The sequence below is a fragment of the Homo sapiens genome, chromosome 22 (assembly GCF_000001405.40).
Source record: "Homo sapiens chromosome 22, GRCh38.p14 Primary Assembly".
Classification (NCBI taxonomy): Eukaryota; Metazoa; Chordata; class Mammalia; order Primates; family Hominidae; genus Homo; species Homo sapiens.
This window is the reverse complement of record NC_000022.11, coordinates 42436049-42462306: the sequence shown is the minus strand read 5'-3', so window position 1 is coordinate 42462306 and position 26258 is coordinate 42436049. Positions and strand designations below refer to the sequence as shown.

At 50.7% G+C, this 26258-nt stretch overlaps 1 protein-coding gene and 1 long non-coding RNA gene across 2 annotated transcripts in view, besides 9 other annotated features; one reads left to right on the top strand and one right to left on the bottom strand.

Annotated features, from left to right (window-relative positions):
• Window positions 4001-4160: an enhancer, noted in NCBI's record as "active region_19167". NCBI's record gives its function as "activates an Ori minimal core promoter by ATAC-STARR-seq in GM12878 lymphoblastoid cells {active_cell/tissue: GM12878}" and the evidence as "EXISTENCE:reporter gene assay evidence [ECO:0000049][PMID:35858748]".
• LOC101927344 (uncharacterized) lies at window positions 11462-24140 on the bottom strand. Its single transcript, NR_188414.1, has 6 exons — window positions 23975-24140; window positions 21703-21816; window positions 16491-16605; window positions 16068-16144; window positions 13483-13600; window positions 11462-11942 (listed from the first exon to the last, which is right to left on the bottom strand). It is a non-coding gene; the product is annotated as an uncharacterized LOC101927344 (long non-coding RNA).
• Window positions 17174-17940: an enhancer, noted in NCBI's record as "H3K4me1 hESC enhancer chr22:42840373-42841139 (GRCh37/hg19 assembly coordinates)". NCBI's record gives its function as "activates a minimal SCP1, AML or CMV promoter by ChIP-STARR-seq in naive H9 embryonic stem cells {active_cell/tissue: H9 hESC(naive)}" and the evidence as "EXISTENCE:reporter gene assay evidence [ECO:0000049][PMID:30033119]".
• Window positions 17948-18127: an enhancer, noted in NCBI's record as "active region_19166". NCBI's record gives its function as "activates an Ori minimal core promoter by ATAC-STARR-seq in GM12878 lymphoblastoid cells {active_cell/tissue: GM12878}" and the evidence as "EXISTENCE:reporter gene assay evidence [ECO:0000049][PMID:35858748]".
• Window positions 20714-21713: an enhancer, noted in NCBI's record as "H3K27ac-H3K4me1 hESC enhancer chr22:42836600-42837599 (GRCh37/hg19 assembly coordinates)". NCBI's record gives its function as "activates a minimal SCP1, AML or CMV promoter by ChIP-STARR-seq in primed H9 embryonic stem cells {active_cell/tissue: H9 hESC(primed)}" and the evidence as "EXISTENCE:reporter gene assay evidence [ECO:0000049][PMID:30033119]".
• Window positions 21591-21670: an enhancer, noted in NCBI's record as "active region_19165". NCBI's record gives its function as "activates an Ori minimal core promoter by ATAC-STARR-seq in GM12878 lymphoblastoid cells {active_cell/tissue: GM12878}" and the evidence as "EXISTENCE:reporter gene assay evidence [ECO:0000049][PMID:35858748]".
• Window positions 23591-24092: an enhancer, noted in NCBI's record as "H3K4me1 hESC enhancer chr22:42834221-42834722 (GRCh37/hg19 assembly coordinates)". NCBI's record gives its function as "activates a minimal SCP1, AML or CMV promoter by ChIP-STARR-seq in primed H9 embryonic stem cells {active_cell/tissue: H9 hESC(primed)}" and the evidence as "EXISTENCE:reporter gene assay evidence [ECO:0000049][PMID:30033119]".
• Window positions 23591-24105: a biological region, named in NCBI's record as "H3K4me1 hESC enhancer GRCh37_chr22:42834221-42834722".
• Window positions 24056-24105: an enhancer, noted in NCBI's record as "active region_19164". NCBI's record gives its function as "activates an Ori minimal core promoter by ATAC-STARR-seq in GM12878 lymphoblastoid cells {active_cell/tissue: GM12878}" and the evidence as "EXISTENCE:reporter gene assay evidence [ECO:0000049][PMID:35858748]".
• NFAM1 (NFAT activating protein with ITAM motif 1) overlaps window positions 24321-26258 on the top strand; it is a 57580-nt gene continuing 55642 nt past the window's right edge. The window contains exons 1-3 of the mRNA NM_001371362.1: window positions 24321-24619; window positions 24788-24965; window positions 25212-25351. The gene's annotated coding sequence lies outside the window, so the exon portion shown is untranslated. The remainder of the gene's footprint in view (window positions 24620-24787; window positions 24966-25211; window positions 25352-26258) is intronic.
• Window positions 24846-24945: an enhancer, noted in NCBI's record as "active region_19163". NCBI's record gives its function as "activates an Ori minimal core promoter by ATAC-STARR-seq in GM12878 lymphoblastoid cells {active_cell/tissue: GM12878}" and the evidence as "EXISTENCE:reporter gene assay evidence [ECO:0000049][PMID:35858748]".

Genomic DNA, 26258 nt, shown 5'->3' with positions numbered 1-26258 from the left:
TTCACTGAGAGATTTGCCCTCAGAGGAGTCTGGCTTTTGCAAGGAGGCATAGATTCACCTCTCTACTCCTGTCAGCTGAAGATCTTATCTCCAGTCTCAACACAGCCACCAGAACCAAGGCCCCTGGTTGCTGGCTCTGATAACCCCTGCCTTCTCTTACGTGCCTCCTGGAGGCAGCTGTGGGACAGAACCCTGTGCTTACCATTCTGGCTTTTCCCTCTTTGTTTCTGGCCCCTGGGGATATTCCTTTCTTGCTTGCTAACTCAGCCACACACTGGCATTTTATTTATTTACTTAGATTTTATCATGAATTTCTATGTTTTTGTAGGGAGAGGTTTTTCCCATGACCCTAGTCAAATATAATGTTAGACTGGAGTTCCTTTCATTGGTAAAGCCAGTTTAATTTGGTTTTATTTCTTCCTTGCAATTTAAAAAACCTAACTGATCAATGATTGCAGCAACAGGCTCAGATCAGACCCACCTGCCAGCAAAGCTGCTGCAGAGGTGCACCTGTCTCTCTCTGAGCCTTTCCTCGCTAAGGAGCCTGCACCTGCACTGGACAAAGGCAGGTCTGCTCACAACCCAGGATTCACAGGTGACTCAACACTTCAGTCTGAATGCAGCCCCCTGCAGAGCCTTTGAGGACAGAGCCTGTGCCCTTTATTTGGTCCAGATCGGCTGCGGTTTTTGCTGCAGGAAACTTGCTGGACAGTGAGTGCTCTGTCATGTTCCCATTTTGCAGAAACTTCAGCATTCTGGATTTTGCTATGATATAGCCACTCTGTCATTTTTTTCTTTGTAAATAAGCAACATCATCCATAATACTGATTTGTAGAACTGCCACTAAATAGCCAGCCAGCAAAAAATGACCCGCGTCTTCATAACCTAGTTCTTTTCCCGGCAAAGAAGAATCTAAGAGATGGAGTATATTTCCCCCTGTCACTGCTATAAATCTTTAGCCCTTGTGCACAATCACTGCTGTGCCATTGCTCATGTTCTTGGCTCGATGAGGGCCCACACTTGTCCCTTCCAAGCCCGTCTCTGCTCTGCTGCCAAACCGATGAGAGACATAATTTGGGCAGGCCATGACCCTGTCAAAAACCCTCCTCAGAAGGGCTTTTCTGTGGGATGTCCTAAAGTTAGTTATGGTGACACAACTCTGTCAATATACTAAAACCCATTGACTTGCATACTTTAAGCAGGTGCATTTTACAGTATGTAAATTCAACCTCAATAAAGCTGTTTGTTGGTTTTGAGACGGAGTCTCACTCTGTCAACCAGGCTGGAGTGCAGTGGCGCAATCTCTGCTCACTGCAACCTCCGCCTCCCGGGTTCAAGCAGTTCTTGTGCTTTGGCCTCCCAAGTAGCTGGGATTACAGGTGTGCGCCACCACACCCAGCTAATGTTTGTATTTTTAGTAGAGCTGAGGTTTCATCATGGCCAGCCTGGTCTCGAACTCCTGATCTCAGGTGATCTTTCCACCTCGGCCTCCCAAACTGCTGGGATTACAGGGGTGAGCCACCACGCTTGGTCTGTTTGTTTGCTGTTTAAGTGTATGAGAATTATAGGGAGAAAACCTGCAAGGCACCCAAGCCCTGCTGGAGCTGGTCCTCCACGTGACCTTAATCTCTAGCCATAGCAAACTTCTTACTGCTCCTCTCAGGCACCACCATGCTCCACGGCGCCCATGACCTTCCACAAGCTGTCTCTTCTACCTGGGATGTTACTGCCGCCACCATCTCCCAGCCAACTCCTAGTTATCGTACAAAGCCTAGCTCTAACTTCGCTTTCTCCAGGAAGTTTCTGTGACCCTCGGTGAGTCTCGCAGTATCCTGGTTTACCTTTGCCACTGCTCCCATCACATCAAACTGACACTTTGTCCCATAGGACTGTCAAAGGGTCTTAGTCACCTCCGCATCTCTAGGACCTGTCTTGGTGCCTGGTACCTCCAAGATGTCAATGTTTGCTCAACTGGCCCCAGCTGATCTCGTGGGTCTCCTTATTGAATATTGAGCCCGCTACAGAAAGCAGGTGCTGCATCCGAGGAGCATTTAGGCGGCGCCAGCTCACCTCAAGCTACAGAAACATGTGGTCCTAATTCCTTCCTCGCTCTCCTCTTTAGCTTTTTCTTAACCTCTGATTTCAGTTACCAATTAGCAATTTAGCAAGAAACACCTTCTTTGTCTTTCCGAAATGTGTCTCTACTAAGGTACCTTTTCCTTGGGGTAAAAAAAAAAAATAGGGGACGGGATATACTAAGTGAATGGGGGAGGGGAGCCAATTAACATTCAGCTAAGAAAGAAAATGATTTCTCCTATCAGTAGTAAAAACTGACAGCTCTATCAGAAAACGAGCCCGGGGAGCCACAAAGCCTGGCAAGGCAGGGTGGGGAGGGAGGCGTCTGCAGCCCTAATCAGGAGTGATAAAGATGGCTGAGGGCAGAGTCCGCTGCTGGGAGCCAGGGAATCCAAAGGATTCAGGCGTCCAAAGGAATCACCTCGGGAGGTGGAACAGTTGCCTTCCACCTCCTCCCTCCTGTCTGATCTGGCCCCAGGCAAGAGGACTGGTACTATTCAGGTTTTATACCTGAAACTTACAGCTCCGACTCTCCAAACGGCCTCTCTCTATGCACTCCTTTCCTCTGACCTTATCATAAAAGGCGGCCACGTGCTGTCTATTCATGGTAGCAGGATGGTCTGGGGAGAGGAGGCTCCATGCGCGAATTCCAGGGTTGATGAAATTGCTCCGGCCCTCTGGATCTCTCCCCGCCATGAATGAATAAACGGGTTTGGGGGCAGGGTGGTGAAATCAAACTCCAGTGTTATCTGACATACAAGTTCTTTCTTGAGTGCCACATAGGTAATTTGTTATAAATCAGAGCTTAAACACCAGATCGGATTTCACAGAACTCAATTCCATCGCTTTAAGATGAGAAGACGTGCAGAGAAGGATGGGAGAAACACCCCCATTCGGCCTGGCAGAAAAGATATTTAGCGTTTTAAAATGTAACCATTGATCTTCTGCTTGAAATACAAATGCATTTTGCTAAAAAAGAAGACGTCAGTGAGATTGAGACAGGAAGTGATGGAGAGAAACCAAAGGCTCGAGCAGGTTGTTTAATTGGAAACAGCGAGAGGCTGTTTTCGGTCACATTTTGTGTACAGTTCCAGGCCACGCTCCCTCTCTCATATACGATCATGAAACATAAAGACACGGGAACAAGTTCAGTGCCTGAGAGCATCGACGCCTCCCTTGAGGTGTGTGTGTGCCCATCACCAGGATGTAGGGAAAAGGAATAGTCTCAGCCTGTGTACAGACTGGGATTTCTGCAGACGCTAGTCTTCAGCAGACACCAATGGGGGAATGCAGAGAGGTCCAGGCCCCGCATCTTCAGAGACTATAGCTCCGGGGCTGTGGTTTTCTGAATCACTCCCAAATGCTTTTGAACTGGGTTTTTTTTTTTTTTTTTTAATTAGGTTTCTTGTCTAAAATGCTCTACATTTTTAGTGTTCTTAGTACAGGAGGTATAACAAGGCAGTTAAGCATTTAATACTCAAGAATTGGGCTGGGCGCAGAGGCTCCAACCTGTCATCCCAGCACTTTGGGAGGCCAAGGCAGGTGGATCACCTGAGGTCAGGAGTTCGAGACCAGCCTGGCCAACATGGCGAACCTCTGTCTCTACTAAAAATACAAAAATTAGCTGGGCGTGGTGATGGGCACCTGTAATACCAGCTACTCTGGACGCTGAGGCAGGAGAATTGCTTGAACCTGGCCAGCAGAGGTTGCAGTGAGCCAAGATTGCATCACTGCACTCCAGCTTGGGCAACAGAGCGAGACTCCATCTCAATTAAAAAGAGAAGAAGAAGAAGAATGTGTCTTTCGAGATACACTGATGATTTTTGAGGTTAACAGCAAGGAAACGCTAGCTGTTGTAATAAATAAATCCCCTAATATAAATCCCCAAATATTAACGTCTTAACCCAAAAGACATGTGTTTCTCACTCACATGACTGACCAGTGTGAGTGTTTGTGGTTGATGAGGGGGTTTTCCCCCATACAGTGATTCCGGAGCACATCACCTTCCATCTCCTCTGCCTAAGGCTTCATCATCATTGCCTGCCTCAGTCAGTGGGAAGGGAGAGGGGGTAGAGAAAGAATAACTACTACTTTTTTTTTTTTGAGACAGAGTCTTGCTCTGTTGCCCAGGCTGGAGTGCAGTGGCGTGATCTTGGCTCACTGCAACCTCCCGCCTCCCGGGTTCAAGCCATTCTTCTGCCTCAGCCTCCTGAGTAGCAGACACACGCCACAATGCCTGATTAGTTTTTTGTATTTTTAGTAGAGACGGGGTTTCACCATGTTGGCCAGGCTGGTTTTGAACTCCTGACCTCCAGTGATCCACCTTCCTCGGCCTCCCAAAGTCCTGGGATTACAGGTGTGAGCCACCATGCCCAGCCTAAGAATAACTACATCTTGATTGCATTGGCAGTGTGCAAAGCTGACTCAATATTCAAAAATTAATTAGGCAGGGCACAGTGGCTCACACCTGTAATCTCAGCATTTTGGGAGGCCGAGGCAGGTGGATGGCCTGAGATCAGGAGTTCGAGACCACTCTGGGCAACATGGTGAAACCCCATCTCTACTAAAATACAAACAATTAGCTGGGCATGGTGGCATGTGACATGCGCCTGTAGTCCCAGCTTCTCGGGAGGCTGAGGCACGAGAATAGCTTAAGCCCGAGCCCCGGAGGCGGAGGTCGCAGTGAGCTGACCACTGCATGCCACTGCACTTCAGCTTGGACTACAGAGTGAGACTCAGTCTCATAAAACAAAAACACAAAAAAATTAATGCAATTTAGCATACCAACAGGATAAAGAAGAAAATCATAGGATCATATCAATTGATGCAAGAAAAGCTTTTGACAAAAATCCAACACCCATTCATAATTAAAAAAAAAAAAAATGGCCGGGCGTGGTGGCTCATGCCTGTAATCCCAGCACTTTGGGAGGCCGAGGCGGGCAGATCACGAGGTCAGGAAATCGAGACAATCCTGGCTAACACAGTGAAACCCCGTCTCTACTAAAAATACAAAAAATTAGCCGGGCGTGGTGGCGGGCGCCTGTAGTCCCAGCTATTCGGGAGGCTGAGGCAGGAGAATGGTGTGAACCCAGGAGGCAGAGCTTGCAGTGAGCCGAGATCACGCCACTGCACTCCAGCCTGAGTGACAGAGCCAGAATCAGTTTCAAAAAACAAAAAACAAAAAAAAAAATTCCCAGCAAACTGAGAATAGAGAACTTCTTCAACCTGATAAATAGCATCTACAAAGAAACGTACAGCTAATAATACCACACAACTTGATATGTTGGGTTTTCCTTTTCAGTCAGTTCAAAATACTTTCTGACTTCTCTTTTGACTTCTTTTTTGACCCGTGGATTATTTAGAAGTGTGTTATTTCGTTTTCAAGTTATTTGGGCATTTTCAGAGCTCTTTCTGTTACCAATTTCTAATTTAATTCCATTGTAAGAGAGCATACTTTGAATGACTTGAGTCCCTTTAAATGTACTGAGACTTGTTTAATGTCTCAGAATATTGTCTATGTTGGTAAATATTCTGTGTGAACTTGAGAGGAATGTGTATTCTGCTGTTGTTGGGTAAAGTGTTTTATAAATGTCCATTGGATCGAGTTGGTTGATAATGTTGTTCAAATCTTCTATATATTTGCTGGTTTTCTGTCTATTCATTCTATCAATTTCTATGTATTTATTCAGAGGTGGGATCTCACTATGTTGTCCAGACTAGACTCAAGTCCTGGGCTAAAGTGCTTCTCCTGCCACAGCCTCCTGAGTAGCTGGGACTACAGGTGATACACGGCTATACCCAGCTATTCTATCAATTCTATCAATTATTGAAAGCAGGGTATTGACATCTTCAACTATGATTGTCAACTTTTCCATTTCTCTTTGCTGTTCTATAAGTTTTTGCTTCAAGTGTTTTGAAGCTCTGTTATTAGGTACATAAACGTTTAGAATTGTTATGTCCTCTGGAATAACTGACCCCTTAATCATTATTGAATTAACCTCTTTATCCCTGGTAATGTCTTCTGCTATACAATCTACTTGGTCTGATATTGATAAGCCACGCTAGCTTTTTTTGGATTTGTGATAGCATGGTAGGTATGTCTTTTTCCATCCTTCTACTTTTAACCTATTTGTGTCTTTATATTTGAAGTGTGTTTCTTATAAATAGGATACTGAATCTTTTTTTAATCCAATCTGACAATCTCTGCCTTTAAATTTGGACATTTTCTTTTCTTTCCTTTTTTTTTTTTTTTTAGAAAGGGTCTCACTCTGTCACCCAGGCTGGAGTGTAGTGGTGCGCAATTGTGGCTCACTGCAGCCTTCACTTCCTGGGCTCAAGTGATCCTCCTGCCTCAGCCTCCGCAGTAGCTGGGACTACAGGTGCACACCACCACACCCGGCTAAATATTGTATTTTTTGTAGAGATAGGGTTTCACCATGTTGGCCAGGCCTAGACCATTTACTTTTTATTTTATTATTCATTTATTTATTTTGAGACAGAGTCTCGCTCTGTCACCCAGGCTGGAGTACAGTGGAGCGATCCACCAACCTCTGCCTCCCAAGGTGCTGGGATTACAGTCATGAGCCACCGCATCCAGCCTGAACTCATTGTATTTATTGTAGTTTCTTAAATAGATGGAGTGTGTATGTGGAGAATCAGAAATACACTACTTTTAGGTTCTTTTTTTTGGGAGGGTGGGGAGTGGGGATAGGGTCTTGCTCTGTTGCCCAGGTTGGAGTGCAGTGGCACAATCATGGCTCACTGCAGCCTTGACTTCCTGGGCTCAAGCGATCCCAAGTAGCTGAGACTACAGGCATGTACTACCATACCCAGCTAATTTTTTACATTTTTTTGTAGAGATGGGGTGTCACTGGTCTCAAACTTGTGGGCTCAAGCAATCTACCCTCCTCAGCCTCCCAAAGTGCTGGGATTACAGGCATAAGCCACCGCACCTGGCCAATGTTCTTATGCTTTATATTAAGTAGTATATTGGCTGGGCATGGTGGCTCATGCCTGTAATTCCAGCACTTTGGGAGGCTGAGGCAGGCGGATCACAAGGTCAGGAGATAGAGACCATCCTGGCGAACACGGTGAAACCCTGTCTCTACTAAAAATACAAAAAATTAGCCGGGCATGGTGGCAGGCACCTGTAGTCCCAGCTACTTGGGAGACTGAGACAGGAGAATGGCGTGAACCCGGGAGGCAGAGCTTGCAGTGAGCCAAGATTGCGCCACTGCACTCCAGCCTGAGGGACAGAGCGAGACTGTCTAAAAAAAAAAAAAAAAAGGTAGCATATTATCACTTAAAGGTAGATTGTGATTGGCAGGGCACGGTGGCTCACGCCTGTAATCCCAGCATTTTGGGAGCCCGAAGTGGGTGGATCATGAGGTCAGGAGTTTGAGACCAGCCTGACCAACATGGTGAAACTCCATCTCTACTAAAAGTACAAAATTTAGCCAGGTGTGGTGGTGGACACCTGTAATCCCAACTACTCAAGAGGCTGAGGCAGGTGAATTGCTTGAACCCAGGAGACAGAGGTTGCAGTTCACACCATTGCACTCCATCCTGGGCAACAGAGCGAGACTCTTGTCTCAAAAACAAAAAAAAGAAGGTAGATTATGATTAATTGAAGTTGAACAAAAATCAACTAGGAAATACTTTTTTTTTTTTCTTTTTTGAGACAGGGCCTCACTCTGTCACCCAGGCTGGAGTGCAGTGGTGCAATCTCGACTCACTGCAAACTCCACCTCTCAGGCCCAGGTCATCCTCCCACCTCAGCCTCCCAAGCAGCCTCCAAGCACCTGCACCACCACATCTGGCTAATTTTGTATTTTTTGTAGAGATGGGGTTTTGTCATATTGCCCAGGCTGGTCTCAAATTCTTGGGCTTAGTTGACCTGCCCACCTCAGCCTCCCAAAGTGCTGGGATCGCAGGCATGAGCCGCCGCCCTGGCCTGGGAATTTTTTTTTTTCAATTTAAATTTGATTTAGAACTAAATAAAGCATTTACATGATGGCAAAGTCAAAACTGAAGAACAAGGTGTATTAAAGAGGTCTGCTTCCATCCCCTCTATACTGTTACTGATTTTTTTCCTTGGCGTGGTCTTATTTTTTAGATTTTAGGTTCAAGAGATTCTCCTGCCTCAGCCTCCAGAGTAGCTGGGATTACAGGTGCATGCCACTATGCCTGGCTAATTTTTTGTATTTTTTAGTAAACACAAAGTTTCACCATGTTGGCCAGGCTGGTCTCGAACTCCTGACCTCAGGTGATCCACCTGCCTCGGCCTCCCAAAGTGCTGGGATTACAGGTGTGAGCCACAGCATCTAGTCCCTCCTCCAGACTCTTAACATTGATGCTGCTCTTCTTCTATGACATCATGAGGTGGCAAAAGACACAGGTTCATTGTTAAGGGTCATGTCGACAGCCTGGTGACTAGGCTTATATGCTTAGATTTCCTGAGTATTTTGAGTTCCCCTGGTGTACACAGAAGGGTCACCGTGGTCAGTAACTGATGCTTGCCATGCGCCGGCACCGTGTTGAGTATTTTATAGATGTCTATGACTGTGTAACAGGCCGGGCACAGTGGCTCATGCCTGTAATCCCAGCACTTTGGGAGGCCAAGGTGGGCAGATCTCTTGAGCTCAGGAGTTTGAGACCAGCTGGCCAACATGGTGAAACCCTGTCTCTCCTAAAGATACAAAAAAATTAGCCGGGCATGGTGGCAGATGCCTGTAATCCCAGCTACTTGGGAGGCTGAGGCACGAGAATCGCTTGAACCTGGGAGGTGGATGTTGCAGTGAGCTGAGATTGTGCCACTGCACTCCAGCCTGGGCGACAGAGTGAGACTCCATCTCAAAAAACAACAACAACAAAAAACGATGTCTATGACTGTGTAACAAATTAGCCCGAATCTCAGCTTAAGCAGTACATGTTTATCATCTCACAGTTTCCATGGGTCAGGAGCCTGGGTGCAGCTTAGCAGGGTCCTCGGGCTGCTGTCTCTCACCAGGCTGCAAGCAAGGTGTCAGCCAGGGCTGCGGTCACCGCGAGGCTGGAATGGGGAAAGAGCCACTTCCACCCTCACTCGTGTTGCTGGGTGCCTTTGGTTCTTTGCCACGGGGCCTCTTTCTAGGGCAGCTCTTGATATAGTATTAGGGTGAGCAAGTGAGCAGGAGAGAGCAGAGGAAAGAGTCAGAGACAGAGGGACCCAGCAAGCCCCAGTCTTGATCACCTAGTCTCAGAAGTAACCCCCATCAGCTGTGCCCTGTTCTCTTGGGTGGAAGCAGGCAGTGAGTCCAGCCCACACACAGGGCCAGGGGTTCCACAAGGCTATGAAGGCCAGGAGGCAGGGGATCTTGGAGAGCCGTTTTGGAAGCTGCCTAACACCGAGACGTTACCTCATTTCACAGCCATAGCCACCCCATGAGGGAGGTGCTACCATCCCCACCTCACAGGTGAAGAAATTAAAGCACAGAGAGGGTGGACATCTCCCCAGGGCCCCAGAGCTAGCCAACTGTGGAGCTGGGAGTCCACCCAGCAGGCTGGCTCCAGGCCCTGCTCTCAGCCGAAGCCTGGGAGGAGGAGGAGGAGTGGCAGGCGGCGCTGGGGCCCGGGCGGGTGCAGCTGAGCCCTGCCACCTGCTGAAGCATCACCGGATTCCCTAGGCCGTGCATCAGTTGAGACAGAGGTGGCCATGTCAGAACCATAGTTGACTTCCATGAAAACCAAAATCCAAACTTGAGCAGCGTCAAGATGGCATTCGGAAAAGCAGTCTGAGAGCAGGGGCTCCATCTGCCTCGCTCAGCCCTGTGCACCCTGGCCAGGCAGGGCCTGGCCACAGAAAGCAAACATTCGCTGGCAGCTAGTCAGGAGAGTCCCCAACCCTGTCCTAGGCAGCTCCAGAGCTGTATTTCTTCTTTCTTTTTCTTTTACTTTTTTTTTTTTTTTCTTGAGACAGGGTCTCGCTCTGTTGCCCAGGCTGGAGTGCAATGGCACGATCATGGCTCACTGCAGCCTCGACCTCCCGAGCTAGAGTTATCCTTCCACTTGGGATCCTCAGCTTTCTGAGTAGCTGCGGCTACAGACATGTGGCATCACACTCGGCTAATTTTTTAAGTTTTTTGTGGAGACGAGGTCTCATTATATTGCCTAGGCTAGACACCTAGATTTCTAAAGCCCAGATCTGACCACATCGTCCTTGCTCTACAATGGTGACTTCTCCCTGCCTAGGACCCAGTCTGAGCTCTGCCTGTCTGCCCTACCTCGTCACCCACGTCTCCATCCTTGCCCGTTTTGTGCCTCCAGTGCACCCCAGCTCACCTTTACGTCGGCCCCACTCTGTTTACTCTGCTTCCATGGCCAACAGTGGCCCCTTCAGCCCAGGGACTCTGTCTTATTCAGCTTTATGTTTCAGGGACTGGGGACCTGAGTGTGGAGCCTGAAGCTCCCATAGCATCTGTACAGAATGGGGAATGAAGGGAAGAGGGGCCTCTGCTTCAGGGGATGGTGTGGGGAGCCACTGCTCATCCTCTGTACCTAGAAGAGGGAGGAGGGAGGAGGAGGAGGAGGAGGAGGAGGGGGAGGAGGGGGAGGCTTTGCTAAAGTTACCAGGCCATGAGGGCGCTACAGTGAGGGGATCTAAATCTTGCGTTTTGTTTGTTTGTTTGTTTGTTTTTTTGAGATGGAGTTTTGCTCTTGTTGCCCAGGCTGGAGTGCAATGGCACGATCTAGGCTCACTGCAACCTCTGCCTCCCAGGTTCAAGTGATTCTCCTGCCTCAGCCTCCTGAGTAGCTGGGATTACAGGTGCATGCCACCACACCCGGCTAATTTTTTTGTATTTTTAGTAGAGACAGGGTTTCATCATGTTGGCCAGGCTGGTCTCAAACTCCTGACCTCAAGTGATCCACCTGCCTCGGCCTCCCAAAATGCTGGGATTACAGGCGTGAGCCACCGTGCCAGCCCTAAATCCTGGGTTTTTCTCGAAATCTGGAAATCACCTCTGGGGTAAGACGCCTGGAACCCTGGAAAGAGACACTGCAGATTATGAGTAATGACCCTAGAAATGCCCTCAGCACAGGTTCTGCTGTGTGCAAAAGCCACTGAATGCAAATATCTTGGAATCTCTCTGCTCCCCACTCAGATTATAGATCTCAAAATACCTGAGTCAGCTTAGCTCCAACTCAAGTCTGCATTTTTCTGCGACTTATGTTCAGGTCTACATTTCCATCAGGAAGCCGCAGTCGCCACCGGCAGCATCAAGGGTGCAGAGAATCAGAGCTGATGTTGTTTTCTGAAGGTCTAATTTCTGAGTTAATCCAAAAAGACAAAGCCCTGCACTTCCAGAGGTAACCTACAGAGATGCAAGTATTGAAAAATTTCTAGTTATTTATATTAAATTATATTTATTTATTTATTTAATTTATTTATCTAGAGACAGAGTCTCACTCTGCCGCCCAGGCTGGAGTGCAATAGCGTAATCTCAGCTCACTGAAACCTCCAACTCTTGTGTTCAAGCAAGGGGTGACTCTGGCTTTCCCCATGGCAAAGAAACTTCCCATGGGTACCTGCACACACCCCAGGCCTCCTCCCTGCCAAGGCAGGGATTCCTGTGCCACCTGCTGGGGAGGGCAGCCCAGCAAATGAGCCAGCTGCATGGGTGGGAGTTGGTGACTGTTCTTCGTTTTCTGCAATGGTTCATTTTTTGTGTCAACCTGTTGGAGCCATGAGGTGCCCAGTATTTGGTTCAACTATATTCTGGGTCTGTCTGTGAAGGTGTTTCCAGAAGAGATAAGCATTTGCATCAGTAGACTGAATAAAATGATGGCCCTCCCCAGGGTGGACGCGCCTCGTCCAATCCATCGAAAGCCTGAAGAGAACAAAAGACAGAGTAAGCCGAGTGTGGTGACGCATGCCAGTAGTCCCGACTACGCAGGAGGCAGGAGGATCGCTTAAACCCAGAAGTTCGAGACCAGCCTGGGCAACGTGGCGAGACCTCATCTCTACAAAAAAATTTTTAAAAAATTAGCCAGGTGTGGCACACTTGTAGTCCCCGCTACTCAGAAGGCTGAGGCAAGAGGATCATTTGAGCCCAGGAAATCGAGGCTACAGTGAGCCACGTTCACACCGCTGCACCCTAGCCTGGACAACAGGGCAAGAGCCTGTCTCAAAAAAAAAAAAAAAATAATGCCGGGTGCGGTGGCTCACTCCTGTAATCCCAGCACTTTGGGAGGCTAAGGCAGGTGGATCACCTGAGGTCAGGAGTTCAAGACCAGCCTGGCCAACATGGTGAAACCCCGTCTCTACTAAAAATACAAAAATTAGCTGGGCGTGGTGGCGTGCGCCTGTAATCCCAGCTACTCAGGAGGTTGAGGCAGGGAGAATTGCTTGAACCTGGGAGGTGGAGGTTGCAGTGAGATTGTACCACTGCACTCCAGCCTGGGTGACAGAGTGAGACTCCATCTCAAAAAAAAAAAAAAACGGTGAGATAGAATTCGCTCTGTCTGCCTGACTGTGAGCTGAGCTGGGACACTGGTCTTCTCCTCTCTTTGAACTTGGACTTAGCCTGCAATGACACTGTTGGCTCTTCTGGTTTTCTTCTGCTTGGTGACTGCAGATCCTGGGACTTCTCAGCCTGAGCTGGGCCAGGGCTGCATTTAGGTAGAAGGGCTCAGGGTAATTAGATGGGGCAGCTGGGACTCCCCAGCAGCAATTCTGGGGCAAGTCAAGCTAAGACACCTCCTTGAGAATTGCTCTGCAGAGAATTGCCTGACCCCAGGCAGTAAGAGGTGAAGCTGCCATGCCTTCGCCTAATTCAGGAACAGTCTTTGCCTTTAGAAATTCCCTCTGCTGGGCTGGGCGCGGTGGCTCACACCTGTAATCCCAGCATGTTGGGAGGCCAAGGCGGGCGAATCACGGAGGTCAGGAGATCAAGACCATCCTGGCTAACATGGTGAAACCCCGTCTCTACTAAAAATACAAAAAAATTAGCCAGGCATGGTGGCGCATGCCTGTAGTCCCAGCTACTCGGGAGGCTGAGGCAGGAGAATGGTGTGAACCCAGGAGGTGGAGCTTGCAGTGAGCCAAGATCGCGCCACTGCACTCCAGCCTGGGTGACAGAGCAAGACTCCATCTCAAAAAAAAAAAAAAAAAAAAGAAAGAAAGAAATTCCCTCTGCTGTTATGTTCAGGGTGGGATGGAAGTAAATAAAATGTTTCATGCAAAGCAAAAAAATAGGATATAATAGGGATTTTGGGCTGGGTTGAGTGGCTCACACCTGTAATCTCAGCACTTTAGGAGGCCAAGGTAGGAGGACTGGGCGAGCCTGGAAGTTTGAGACTAGCCTGGGCAACGTAGTGAGACCCCATCTCTTCAAAAAAAAAAAAAAGAGGACTTTTTAGAAGTCTTACTTTGGCCTTTACTGTTGATTCCCAATTATTCGGGATTCGATCATCCAGTTTGAGGATCATTGAAGCCTTTTCTAGGCTGTTTTGACTCTTTTCATTCTTTCACTAATCTTGGCATTTCCTAATATTAATGAAAATAAAAGGAAATGAGAGTGAAACAACAGGTTTACTTTCCTCTATTAGCTTCTGAGGGAAAAGGAATGGACAAGAGCAGGTTGGGCGACCAGCTGGCATTTGCCCCTCTGTCAGGTGACCTCGACATCCCCGCATTGCAGAAAGGACCCTGAGAGCTGACCTTGCCTGTGTGCGTCTCCCCAACGAAAACTCTTAGCAAGTCTGACTTACAGACCACTAGAAACCCGATCGGGACCCAGAAACCCCACTCCCAGGTATTCACCCAAGAGAAGTGAAAACTTCCATTCATACAAACACCTGTGCGTGAATGTTACAGCAGCTTATTCATAATCGTCGAAACCTGGAAATCGCCCACATCCTTTACTTGGTGAATAGATAAATAGACCACAGTCCATCCAGACAGTGGAACACTTCTCAGCAATGAAAAGGAACCATACAACAATGTGGGTGAACCTCAAATCACGATGCTCAGCGAAAGAACCTGGACTCGCACGATTCCACTTTCAGGACTCCCGTTGCTGGAAAAGCAACGGGAGAACAGAGCAGTGGTTGCCAGCGGCAGCACAGGAGTTCTGGGAGTGACGGGATGTTCCCTATCTTGACTGCGGTCATGGTGATAGGACTCTATGCATTTGAACTATATACCAAAAGAAGTGAATTTTACTGTGTGTACATTTGAAGGTATTTTTTAACCATTAAAAAAGAAAAATCAAGGCCGGGCACAGTGGCTTATGCCTGTAATACCAGCACTTTGGGAGGCTGAGGCAGGTGGATCACCTGAGGTCAGGAGTTCGAGACCAGCCTGGCCAAGACGGTGAAACCCCATCTCTACTAAAAATACAAAAATTAGCTGGGTGCCGTCGTGGGCGCCTGTAATCCCAGCTACTCAGGAGGCTGAGGCAGGAGAATCGCTTGAACCTCAGAGGTGGTGGCTGCAGTGAGCCGAGATTGCGCCAGTGCACGCCAGCCTGTGCGACAAGAGTGAGACTATGTCTCAAAAAAAAAAAAGTGACTTCAATTTTTCCTCCTTCTCCTCTTGGCTTGTAAAAGGCTTGTCCCTGTGTGGCTTCAGAGTGTTTAAAATCACTTACCTCCTCTTGAGGAGGTTCAACATTCTTTTTTTTTGAGACAGAGTCTTGCTCTGTCGCCCAGGCTGGAGTGCAATGGCATGATCTCGGCTCACTGCCACCTCCACCTCCCAGGTTCAAGGGATTCTCTTGCCTCAGCCTCCCGAGTAGCTGGGATTACAGGTGTGCATCACCACACCCGGCCAATTTTTGTATTTTTGTTGCCCAGGCTGGTCTCGAACTCCTGGACTGAGACAATCCACCCGCCTCAGCCTCCCAAAGTGCTGAGATTACAGATGTGAGCCACTGCGCCAGGCCTCAATATTCTTTCTAATAAGCTCACTTGGGTTCTTATTCAGTATATTCCTTTTCCCAGGCTGCTGTAACAAAATAACATAAACTGGGTGGCTTAAGGCAACAGAAATTGATTTCCTCCCAGTTCTGGAGGCGAGAAGTCCAACACCAAGGTGTTGGCAGGGCTGTGCTCCCTCTGAAGGTTCTAGGGAAGAATCCTCCCTCTCTTCTTCCGGCGTCCAGTGGCCACAGGCATCCCTTGGCTTGTAGCCTCACCACTGCCATCTCTGCCTCCATCTTCCTATGGCCCTCTTTCCTCTGTGTCTCCTCTGCTTCTTCTTCTTCTTCTTTTTTTTTTTTTTTTCTTTTTTTTTTGAGACAGAGTCTCGCTCTGTCACCCAGGCTGGAGTGTAGTGGCACGATCTCAGCTCACTGCAAGCTCCGCCTCCCAGGTTCACATCATTTTCCTGCCTCAGCCTCCCGACTAGCTGGGACTACAGGCGCCTGCCACCATGCCGGGCTAATTTTTTTGTATTTTTAGTAGAGACGGGTTTTCACCGTGTTAGCCAGGATGGTCTCGATCTCCTGACCTCATGATCTGCCCACCTCAGCCTCCCAGAGTGCTGGGATTACAGGCGTGAGCCACCGCGCCTAGCCGTCTCCTCTCCTTCTTATAAGGACACCAGCTGTTGGACATAGGGCCCAGCCTAAATCCAAGATTATTTTATCGTGAGTTGAAAGGACCTGATTACATCTGAAAAGACCCTGTTTCCAAATTCAGCTCACAGTCACAGGAATGGAAGAGTCGGGGGGAGGGAGAGGTTAATACATGAACATATCTCTTGGGGAGCACAATTCAACCCCTACATTCAGTAAGACTCTCTTAGAGAGGGCAGGGCAAGCTGGCCCTGCACTCCTTGGCCATCCCCTGCTGTCACCCCCAGACCTCAGGCACGGCGGCCCCTCGCTCTCCCCCGTCTCCTCTGTCCGGGCCTCTGAAGTCACCAGTTCTCCATGCCCAGCCGTGGCCTGTGGGAGGGAGCTGGGGGGGTGAGCTGGAGCTGCCACTTAGCGGCAGAGTCACAAACTCACCGTTCCTAATGAAGCCCGTCGCTTCTCCCTCCTCTTCCTCCCAGCAATGTCCGCAGTGGTGCCTGCGATGAAAGAAGCTGACCCAAGACATAGGAGGGAGGTGATTATGGGTTTAGAAAAGTCTTGACAAAAACATATCCTTTTATGACTGGGGTGGCTCTGTCAGGCTCTGCTGGCCCAGCATCCTCCCCACAGCCCACCCCAGCCAGAGGAACAGTCTCCTGATTTTCCTGTGGGGACTCCTGTCCTCTCAAGGTCACTTAGTTGAGCAGGGTTGTCCCTACCCCCAGTTCCCTGTCCCTCTGTCTTCTTTCCACTGCAGGCCAGCCAGCAGAACCCTGCTTTTCTGAAGACCCTGACCAGGAGCTGCAGCCCCTCCTGGCCCTGTAGCCGCAACTGGCCCCATCTCTTGATTCCGCTTACCTGTCCGGCCCAGGCTGGAGCTACCCCACAGCTGCCAGGGCTGGGTCCTCCAGGCCACCTGCCCATGAACCAGCCAGGTGAGCACAAAGCACGTCTCCCCCACCCCGTCTTGGGTCTGTAGGGACAATAAAATGCCTGCCAGTGAAAAGGGCACAGTGAGGCTGGGTGCTGTGGCTTGTGCCTGTAATCCCAGCACTTTGGGAGGCCGAGGCAGGCAGATCATTTGAGGTCAGGAGTTCGAGACCAGCCTGGCCAACATAGTGAAACACTGTCTCTACTAAAAATAACAAAAATTAGCCAGGCGTGGTGTCTTGCACCTGCAGTCCCAGCTCCTCAGGAGGCTGAGGCAGGAGAGTTGCTTGAACCCAGGAGGCAGAGGTTGCAGTGAGCCAAGATCATGACATTGCACTCCAGCCTGGGCAACAGAGCGAGACTCCGTCTCAAAAAAAAAAAAAAAAAGAAAAGAAAAGAAAAAAAAGGGCGCAGTGCTGAGCCACGGATTATTTAAGATATCCTATTTCAGGAAAAACGAACAAGTCCAGATTCTCTTGGCTGTGGCTCCGTGGTTTATATGTTTGCAGAATCAGAAGAGTGAGTGACAAAGGTTACAGGTAAGCCTGCAGGAGTAGACACCTTTGGGGGAGAGATTGGAGAAAATGATTAGCTTTTTCTGTATAGATTTTTGGATTATTTCACCTTGTGAACTCTGATATTTGCTCTGACGCCAGCCACCCTCACTGGGTCCTTGGTTCTGCCCTGTTCTGTTCTGCATCCTTCTTTGCCTGTGGGGTTTCCGGGTTTCTATCCTGAGCTCCAAGCCAGGGTCCAACCCAGCAACCTGCGGCCCTGAGGCCCGTAGGTCCCCATGTGGGCACTCTTGACCTCCTAGGCTTTGCTGACCTACAGGCCTCCTCGCCAGTGACTCATGAACTTGGCTGAGGCACAGCTTTTCAGATCCTGGGGGGCCCCCCTCTCTCCTCTCCCACGGGGTTCTTATCAAGCTCAAGGGAGGAAATGGTTGACAAACGGTTTTGCTAAACTAGGATCGGTTACCCAATGGAGAAGCTTATTACTGAAGACGCTGATGAAGAACATTCGAGCAGCGCCCCATCAATCTCCTCTGCTGTCAGGAAGGCTGGGGGAGGGGCGGTGGGACCCAGGCCATCAGGAGCGGGATGCCACCGAGTTCTCAAAGACCTTGTCCGCCCTGGCCCTTCCTGTCCGGCCTCCAGGGGGCACCAGATCTCCACCCAGTGCGTGACCACCCCCTCCCCACCAATCCCTCAGCGAGATTCTAGCAGAGGGGAGAGAGCCAGGGGCCGTGGGGACCCAGGGGTGAGAAAGGGGCTGGCAGAGAGCAGGGAGTCCACCCAGGGTCAGGTTCAGGCCTGCATTGATGTGTGGCCAGGGTGCGACACAGAATTCTGCAAGATTCAGAACATCTCTCAATCACTACATTTTCAGAAAATGGATGAAAAGCTGATCAAAAAGACGTTTGATGCCAGGCTGAAGAGAAGCTGGATCTTGCACCATCGGGCTGGAGGCAAAGTGCGGGCTGGAGTTCCCCACAGCTGGAGCAGGAGTCCTCTGTAATCCATCAAGTCTGAAGCAGGAAATGCAAGAAGGCTCATGGCGCCTCCTCCCACGAGCCGCCCGGCTGCCGAGAGCCCGGGGTGTGGAGCGGCGGGTTCAGGCCAGGGCAGCGGGACTCTGGGAGCTGGGCTTGCTGGTCCAAGAAACTTGGAGCACAGTCAGGTTTGCAGTTCAGCTCAGAATCCTGATTCAGAAACACCACCCCTTCTCCATGCCTGGGGAGATAGGTGAACTCCCAAACGACTCCCGGGGCCACCCCAGCAAAACCCTAAATGACAGAATTGCCCAGACAGAAGCTGGCTGATCTGTTAGCGAGACTAACCCCATACTTGCCCATGCTCTCTTCTAGTTCACAGGGCACTTCCGTGGCAGGGGAACATGAACTATTCTTGCTAATGAGGCTGGTGAAGCTCACAGGACCTGCACTTGCCAAGGCCCCACAGTTAGGAAACGGCAGAGCTGGGCCTTTAACCCAGATCCCCTGCCTCCAAGTCCTGGAATGGTTGTTTCAGAGGCTGAGCCTTCTGAGTGAGATGAGAAAACTAACAGGAGTCTGGCTGCTGAATCCTCTTTGGGGCACTTTCTCTAGAACAGCCAAAAAGTGGTCCCCAGACTCCACTTGCTTGTATGTACCTGGTAAGTCAGTGCCATTCAGTAAAAAGAAAGTCTTTCTTTTTTTTTTTTCTGCTGAATTGCAATATGTAATTGCAATGTGTTCCTATGTCATATGTTTCTGTAAAGTTTGCAAAGGTGAGACATCAGTTAGTCACACCAAGCCAGCTTGGTGGCACAGCACATGCTTGTAGTCCCAGCTACTCAGGAGGCTGAGGTGGGAGGATGGCTTGAGCCCTGGAGTTCAAGGCTGTGATGAGCAAAGATTGCACCACTGTACTCCAGACCTGTCTCTAAAAAAAGAATCAAACCTGGGCAACGTAGTGATAGACTCTGTCTCTAAATATACACATATGTCTATGAATAAGGCTTTTAAAAATAATAAAAATAACTCAGCTAAGTCTCTTTCCACTCTGATTCCCCGCCTTCCCTGCTCCCATCCAGTTGGATGGTGTTGGACTGGCTGTGGGTATTTTGGGAGAAGTTGATATGGAAATAGTTCAGAATTCAGGGGTATTTCTTGTGGTTCATGGTTCTATCCATGTGTAGCTCAGTCGTTGCTGGCTGTCCGAGGGTACAGATGGCTTCCAGGAACAGGCTCACCAATGAATGAAGGAGAATGAATACAATGATCATGATGAAAAAAGATTTAAATTTCTTGCTGATTTGGCATAAAATGTTGAAACCAACAAAGACAACATAAAACTCAGAACAGGTCCCTGTGATGAGAGCATCAAAGCCTCGCGTGGTCACCAGTGTGGCCCATCCAAGGAGCATGTAAGGTCAGGTCCCACATGAGAAAACTTGACACAGCCATGCCCTGAACTCTTCCTGCTACCATATCAAAGAAATTTGATTGAAGTTTGTTTTCTCTATAGAATATGGCATTGCAAAATCCTTGTTGTACAAGGAAGCGATCAGGATATAGAAAAACATAGGGAAGCCAGGTGTGGTGGCTCAAGCCTGTGATACCAGCCCTTTGGGAAGCCGAGGCAGGCAGATCACCTGAGGTCAGGAGTTCGAGACCAGTCTGGCCAATGTGGTGAAACCCTGTCTCTACTAAAAATACAAAAGTTAGCCGGGCATGGTGTGGGCACCTGTAATCCCAGTTACTCGGGAGGCTGAGGCAGGAGAATGGCCTGAACCCAGGAGGCGGAGCTTGCAGTGAGCCGAGATGGCGCCACTGCATTCCAGCCCGGGTGACAGAGCGAGACTCCGCCTCAAAAAAAAAAATTAAAAATAAAATAAATAAATAAATAAAATTCACTGTTATGCCTAATTTTGGTTTTGTAATTGTGTTTGTTTTTTTTTTTAAATGAGAGTCCTCTTGAAATTGTGTAAGCTTCAGATACCATAAACCCAGCTCGGCCCCAATGACCAGCTCCCTCTGTGCTGTAAACAGGTGGTTTATAGAAAAGAGGAGGCTTGAGAGCCAGAGATATCTGGGTCCAAATCCTGGTTCAGCCTCCTCCTCGCCCTGAGAATCCTGGGTGACTTGCTTCTTGCAGACTCAAGTTCTTTCCCTATAAAATGGGGATAACCTGCCTGACTAACATGGAGAAACCCTGTCTCTACTAAAAATACGAAATTAGCTGGGCGTGGTGGCACATGCCTGTAATCCCAGCTACTCGGGAGGCTGAGGCAGGAGAATAGCTTGAACCTGGGAGGCAGAGGTTGTGGTGAGCGGAGATTGCACTTTTGCACTCCAGCCTGGGCAACAAGAGGGAAACTCCATCTCAAAAAAAAAAAAAAAAAGAAAAATAAGGGAATAATCTGAGCTCCACAGGGGGCTGTGAGGTCTGGTGTGTGTGCAGCACCTGGAGTACTCTGGATTCCTTCACCTCTGCCATTCTTTGCCCCTTCCCTCGATCTTTCCTGCTCTGTGGCCCACCCTGTGGTCTCCATGCCTTCTGCTCAGTGCAGGGCTATTACCCTGGCCAGACATCCTTAGGGAGAATAGATCCCAGAACCTGATCATGTCTTTTTCTAAATCAAAATGACGAGTATACAATCTCAGCCACTGAGCAAGGTCCTGGAATGAGGATGAGACAGAGGAGAAGGGCAGTCAAGGGGTCTTCCAAAACAGCTCCCTTCCTAAGGGCCACCCCGAATGGGTCCCTGCGAGGAAGGAAGGGCCTCGCCATGAGGGAGGCCCAGGTGGTTCAGCATCACCAGGCACCCACAAGACAAGCATGTAGGGACGGCGCCCTCATCCCAAGAGGAAGGAAGGGCCTCCTGGGGCCCAGAAGGGGCACAGCAGAGGGTATCCTGCAGCTGGCTGGCCCTGACCCCAGCTGGAAGGAAATGGGGGACCCGAAAGGAGCCAGGGGTCTCCCAGGAGCCATGTGTCCATGGTGAGGGGACCACAGTTCCAACCTCCATCCTGGTCAGACCCTATCTGAACCGGAAATGCAGGCTGGGGTCCCCCACGGAGAAGGGTCTGGAAGCCATGTTGGGAGGACAAACAGGACCAGGGATGTCTTGGCCTGGAGAAGGGGAGGCTGGGTGGCCACAAACCCCCATCCACACCTGCCGGAGATGCTGGGGAGAAATTCCCAGGGAAAGGGCTGTTTACCAGGCCAGGCTGTGGGCAGTGGGGAAACAGAGTAGAGGGGGCGGGCAGGGGACCGAGCCTCGAGGCCTCCTGCGAACCAGGGACCCGGTGGGGAGGGGCTGGTGACCCAGGAAACCCCTCCTTCCCCTAGCCCGCCTCCTGGGCTTCTGGGCCTGCGTCCAGGTGGCTGGGCCTCGCCTGTGCAACTGGAAGTGAGGGGAGAGGAGGGTCCAGCGGGGTGTTCTCTTTCCAGGTGCTCTCAGCGCTTGCCCAGGCCGCCATGGGGCTCCCTTAACACCCACGGAGTTGAACGAAAGAGAGACCCCGGATCCGAAGCCACCTGCCCTCTTTCCTCTGCCCCCTAGCCAGCTCCTTCCCACCTAGTGCCAAACGCAGCCTCTCAGATTCTGACCTCCACTTTCCACAAGCCGGTGTGACCCAGGTCCTACTTACCTTCTATTAAATTTAGTAGAATCCACCGAGGTGCCCTTTTCACCTGCGCATTAAGGGAAAGGGCTCCACCTTCATGCATTCATTCAAGAGATTCCTGATTTTCGGCCTAAGCACCTGCAGAGAGGAAGTGGGGCCTGAAGCAGGACCGGGGAAAAAGTGAGGGGCTGCAGCGAGCTCCGGTCTAGCTGGGAAGCACAGACACCTCTAGAGGTTATCCCCAGGCAGTGTGCCTGATCCTAGGATTCGAACCCTAGCCCCACCTCCACTGGCCACTTCACCTTAAAACAGTGACTTCCCTTCTCTGAGCCACAGTTTCCTCATCCGCAAAATGCAGACACAATAGCACCTGCCTCGCAGCATGGCTTAGAGAACAGACTCAGCCAAGCGTCTGGCAAGTAATCCTTTCCCACCTTACGCCACCTCTTCCTCATCTTGCCCTCACCCTCACTCACTGGCCATGCCCAGCAGCTGGTGGCCCAGTGCCCAGAAGGGGGTCAGAAAGCTGTGGCCACCTGAAGCCAGGCCCTGGGGTGGGTGACCAAGGGCCTCCCGCCCACTCCTAGGCCAGCCGCTCCTGGCAAGTGCCCAAGTCCCCGTCCCACGGGCAGCTCAGAGATGGCCTGGCCCCATGCTCCTTGTTTGACACAAAATCAGCAGACACCGGGAGGAAAGAAAAGAAAAGGGAAGCTCAAGAGAAACAGTGACTCAGGCACAGGCTCCCTGCCAGGCAGACAAAAACGCCCAAAACACTTTCGTTTTGCCCCAGGGGAGTTTCCTGGGGAGGGGGCTTCTGCAAGTGAAGCCTTTGGTCACCTGTGACCTGCTGGAAAGATCATGGTCCAGAGATCCAAAGGCGGATTTTCCCTCCCTCTGATTCTATTCCGACGATGGAGGGCAGACTGGGATTACTGTTGATCTGCACACCCCTGGGAGATTTCTGGTCCTAAAACAGCATCTTGCCTGTAGTCCCAGCTACTCAGAAGGCTGAGGCAGGAGAATCACTTGAACCCGGGAGGCGGAGGTTGCAGTGAGCCAAGATCGCACCATTGCACTCCAGTCTGGGCAACAGGAGTAAAACTCCGTCTCGAAAAAACAAACAAACAAACAAAAACAAAACAGCATCTCCTCAGTGTTGCGGGGCATTTTGTACAGAATGGATGTTCGAGTCCAATAAGTGCAGGAAGTCTCTAACTTCCCAAGGAGCTGTCTCCCAGAGAAAGCCGTTCCCACTCAGAAACCGGATTATAAATGACGTCGGGCTTCCAGGAACCGCCCGAAAGCTGCTGAACTCTGAATGCAGCTGAAAATCTGTACATGTGAAATGAAAACAGTAAAAATCAATACTAGTTGCAATACCAGTAATTTCTGAACAGAAAAAATAAATGGTTTTATGCATCTGACTGTGGATGCTGGAGAGAGAAGGTAGTTTTCATCAGAGGAGGCCTAGGGGAGGAGGGAGGCCTTCTCATTCCACTTCCCCTGCGTCTCTCTCCAGCCTCAGCCTCTCAGCCTGGAAGGAACACCCCAGTCCCTCCTGCGAGCCCTCCTGTCTACTCCTGGAAGCTTCTTTTTTTTTTTTTTTTTTTTTGTGAGACAGAGTTTTGCTCTTGCTGCCCAGTCTGGAGTGCAATGGCGCAATCTCGGCTCACTGCAACCTCCACCTCCCGGGTTCAAGCGATTCTCCTGCCTCAGCCTCCCGAGTAGCTAGGATTACAGGCGTGCGCCACCATGCCCGGCTAATTTTGTATTTTTAGTGGAGACGGTGTTTCTCCATGTTGGTCAGGCTGGTCTCAAACTCCTGACCTCAGGTGATCCACCCGCCACAGCCTCCCAAAGTGCTGGGATTACAGGCGTGAGCCACCTCGCCTGGCCTAAAACTACTTTTCTATCAACATCTCACTGTTTGCAGAGTGCTCTCACTTCGTTTACTTCCATTGTTCTTCACTAAACCCTGACAAAGTGGGTATTTCATCCCCATTTTGTGGATGCAGAAACTGCCCCCCACTTCAACGCCTGAGGAGACAAGGCTGGGATGCAAACTGAGCTCACGCCAGAGCCCCTGCCCTTCCCAGGACGCGGCGCTGTCCCTACAAGGAGGAGGGAGAGGGGAGGGAGTGGGGAAGGGAGAAAGGTTGCCGGGAGGAGGAGGAAGGATGGAAGGGAGGGAGGGAGGGCAGGTGGGGGGCAGAAGGGGCGGGGAGGAGGGAGGAAGTGGGAAGGAGGGCGAAGAAGGGAGAAGCGGGGGAACGGAGAGGGGGAGGGAGTATCAAACCTGTCCCATATTTGAGAGGTGCTTCGGGCAGTTTCCGAAGTGTGAGAGCCAGGGTCTGTTTAAATGCAGATTTCCTGGCCCTGCAACTCTCTGGGGTGGAGCCAGCGTGTCTGCAGAATAGTGGCAGCCACACACACACCCTCTGCTCACGGGAGACTGAGGCTCTGGTCTCACAGAACCTGAGAACTGTGGGTGAGGAAGCATGAATAGCCTCAGGGGAGGCTAATTGCTTCCTTAATTAGCTGAACCCGCGCTGGGGAGCCCTGCCCGGAAAGTCCCAGTTGCTGGGAAGGATGGGACTGGCTTGCCTGGCGGCCAATAACCGTTTCCGCTGGCGGCTGCCCCCGAGGAGACTGTGCGGCGTTTCCAGCAGAAACAGCACGAGGGGAAAGGGCCGGGCCACCGCGGTGCCCAGGAAGGGATTTAAAGAGGCAAGCTGAGGTCCTGCAGCCGCCACGCCCTGCACCCTGTACCGACAGCCCTCCGCCGGCACACTCTTGGTTCTGCCTGCACCGGACCCCCCCGGAACCCCCACTGCCCTATCCCACTGCCGCTCAAGCCCTATCTTGATCTTGCTAGGCGGTGGCCTCAGGGCAGCCCAGGACCCCTAGAGGGGGAAGAAGGGTCACGGAGAGGAAATCTCAGGTGAGGGCGTTCCCATGTCTACCACCAGGTGGCACCATCAGCACAGGCCAACCCTGGGGCCGTCCTGCGTGGCCAGGAGGGGAAGTGGGTGGCACCGTTAGTGGGGGACTTGGTGGCTCTGGCGTCTGTTGTCTGAGGGCCTCCTGGTTCTGTGCTCGTCTCTTTCAGGGACATGGTTGTGTCAAGGGCCCGAGCCTCCCAGAACCTTGGCACATGGTGGACGTGGAATAAATGTTGAAAATTGTGGCCGGGTATGGTAGGTCACACCTGTAATCCCAGCACTTTGGGAGACCGAGGCGGGCAGATCACTTGAGGCCAGGAGTTCGAGACCAGCCTGGCCAACATGGTAAAACCCCGTCTCTACTAAAAAATACAAACATAGCCGGGTGTGGTGGTGGGTGCCTTTAATCCCAGCTGCTTGGGAGGCTGAGACAGGAGAATCACTTGAACCTGGGAGGAGGAGGTTGCAGTGAGCCAAGATCGCACCACTGCACTCCAGCCTGGGTGACGGAGCGAGACTCCATCTCAGAAAAAAAAAAAAAAAAAGACAAAAAGAAAAAATCATGCCACCTTTGTTTTTTGTTTCTTCCAGATCTTGAAGATTCCTTTTGGTGTGGCGGGGTTGGGGAGTTGGCACTAGCTCCTTGCTGCCTCCCAGAAACTGAGCATAGCAGGGGGACCATGGTATGTGTCCAGTAGAAAAGCCCGGGTCCCCTCTGTGACCTCAAGCAGGTGAGTCACTGTTTTTCTCCCTCACTAAATATGTCAGCTGAGGCGTATAATATCTGCCCTGATTAAAGGACCAGGTGAATTGCAGGAGAGCGCAGTGGTTAAAGCCAGGTCCCGGGAGCTGGAGCCCTTGTTCCACTGCGTCTTCGCTGTGTGGCCTTGGGCAAGTGGCTTGTGTTCTCTGAACTCCAGTTTCCTCATCTGCGAAGCAGGAGCAGTCATAACACCTCCCATACAAGGTTTCTATGAGGGCTGAAGTACAAGAAAAGCCTTTAGAACTGTGTCTGGCATCAAACAAATGCTTAAGAGCCAAAAATACAAGCAGCTGGAACTGAGAGGGGATTCTGGAGACAAGCCAGGCCAGGCTTCCAGCCCGGGCAGCCTGCGGGCAGATGGCCTCCAGGTGGGTCTGCCTGCCTCTGGTGGGGTCAGCACCACCCAGCTGCAGGGCCACTGCGAGGCACAAGACGGCCCCAGAGGTAAACCCGGCTGCTCCTAGGATGGAGGCTGCCCTTTTTGATAGTGAGGGTGTTTGAGAGAGAGGGTGGATCGGCCCCTGAGTACCCTGGAACCCTTTTTGCCTCAGTGAAGCCAGCTCAGAGGGTCATTCTGAGGGGTCCCTCCTGCTGGTCGGCTCAGCTCCTCTTGGTGCTGGAGTCTTTGGGGAGGAAGGAAGTGATTTTCGCAGCCGCAGCGGGGAGCAGAGGGATCTCCTTCCCACGGCACTTCTGCTTCCTGTGCAGAAAGGAACCATGAAGAGCTCAGGACCTCACTGTGTCCCGGCTGGAGGCCTCTCAGCTGCCACTTGCTGGCTGGGGCATTTGAAAATCCTGGATTGAGGCCGGGTGCGGTGGCTCACGCCTGTAGTCCCAGCACTTCGGGAGGCCAAGGCGGGCAGATCACCTGAGGT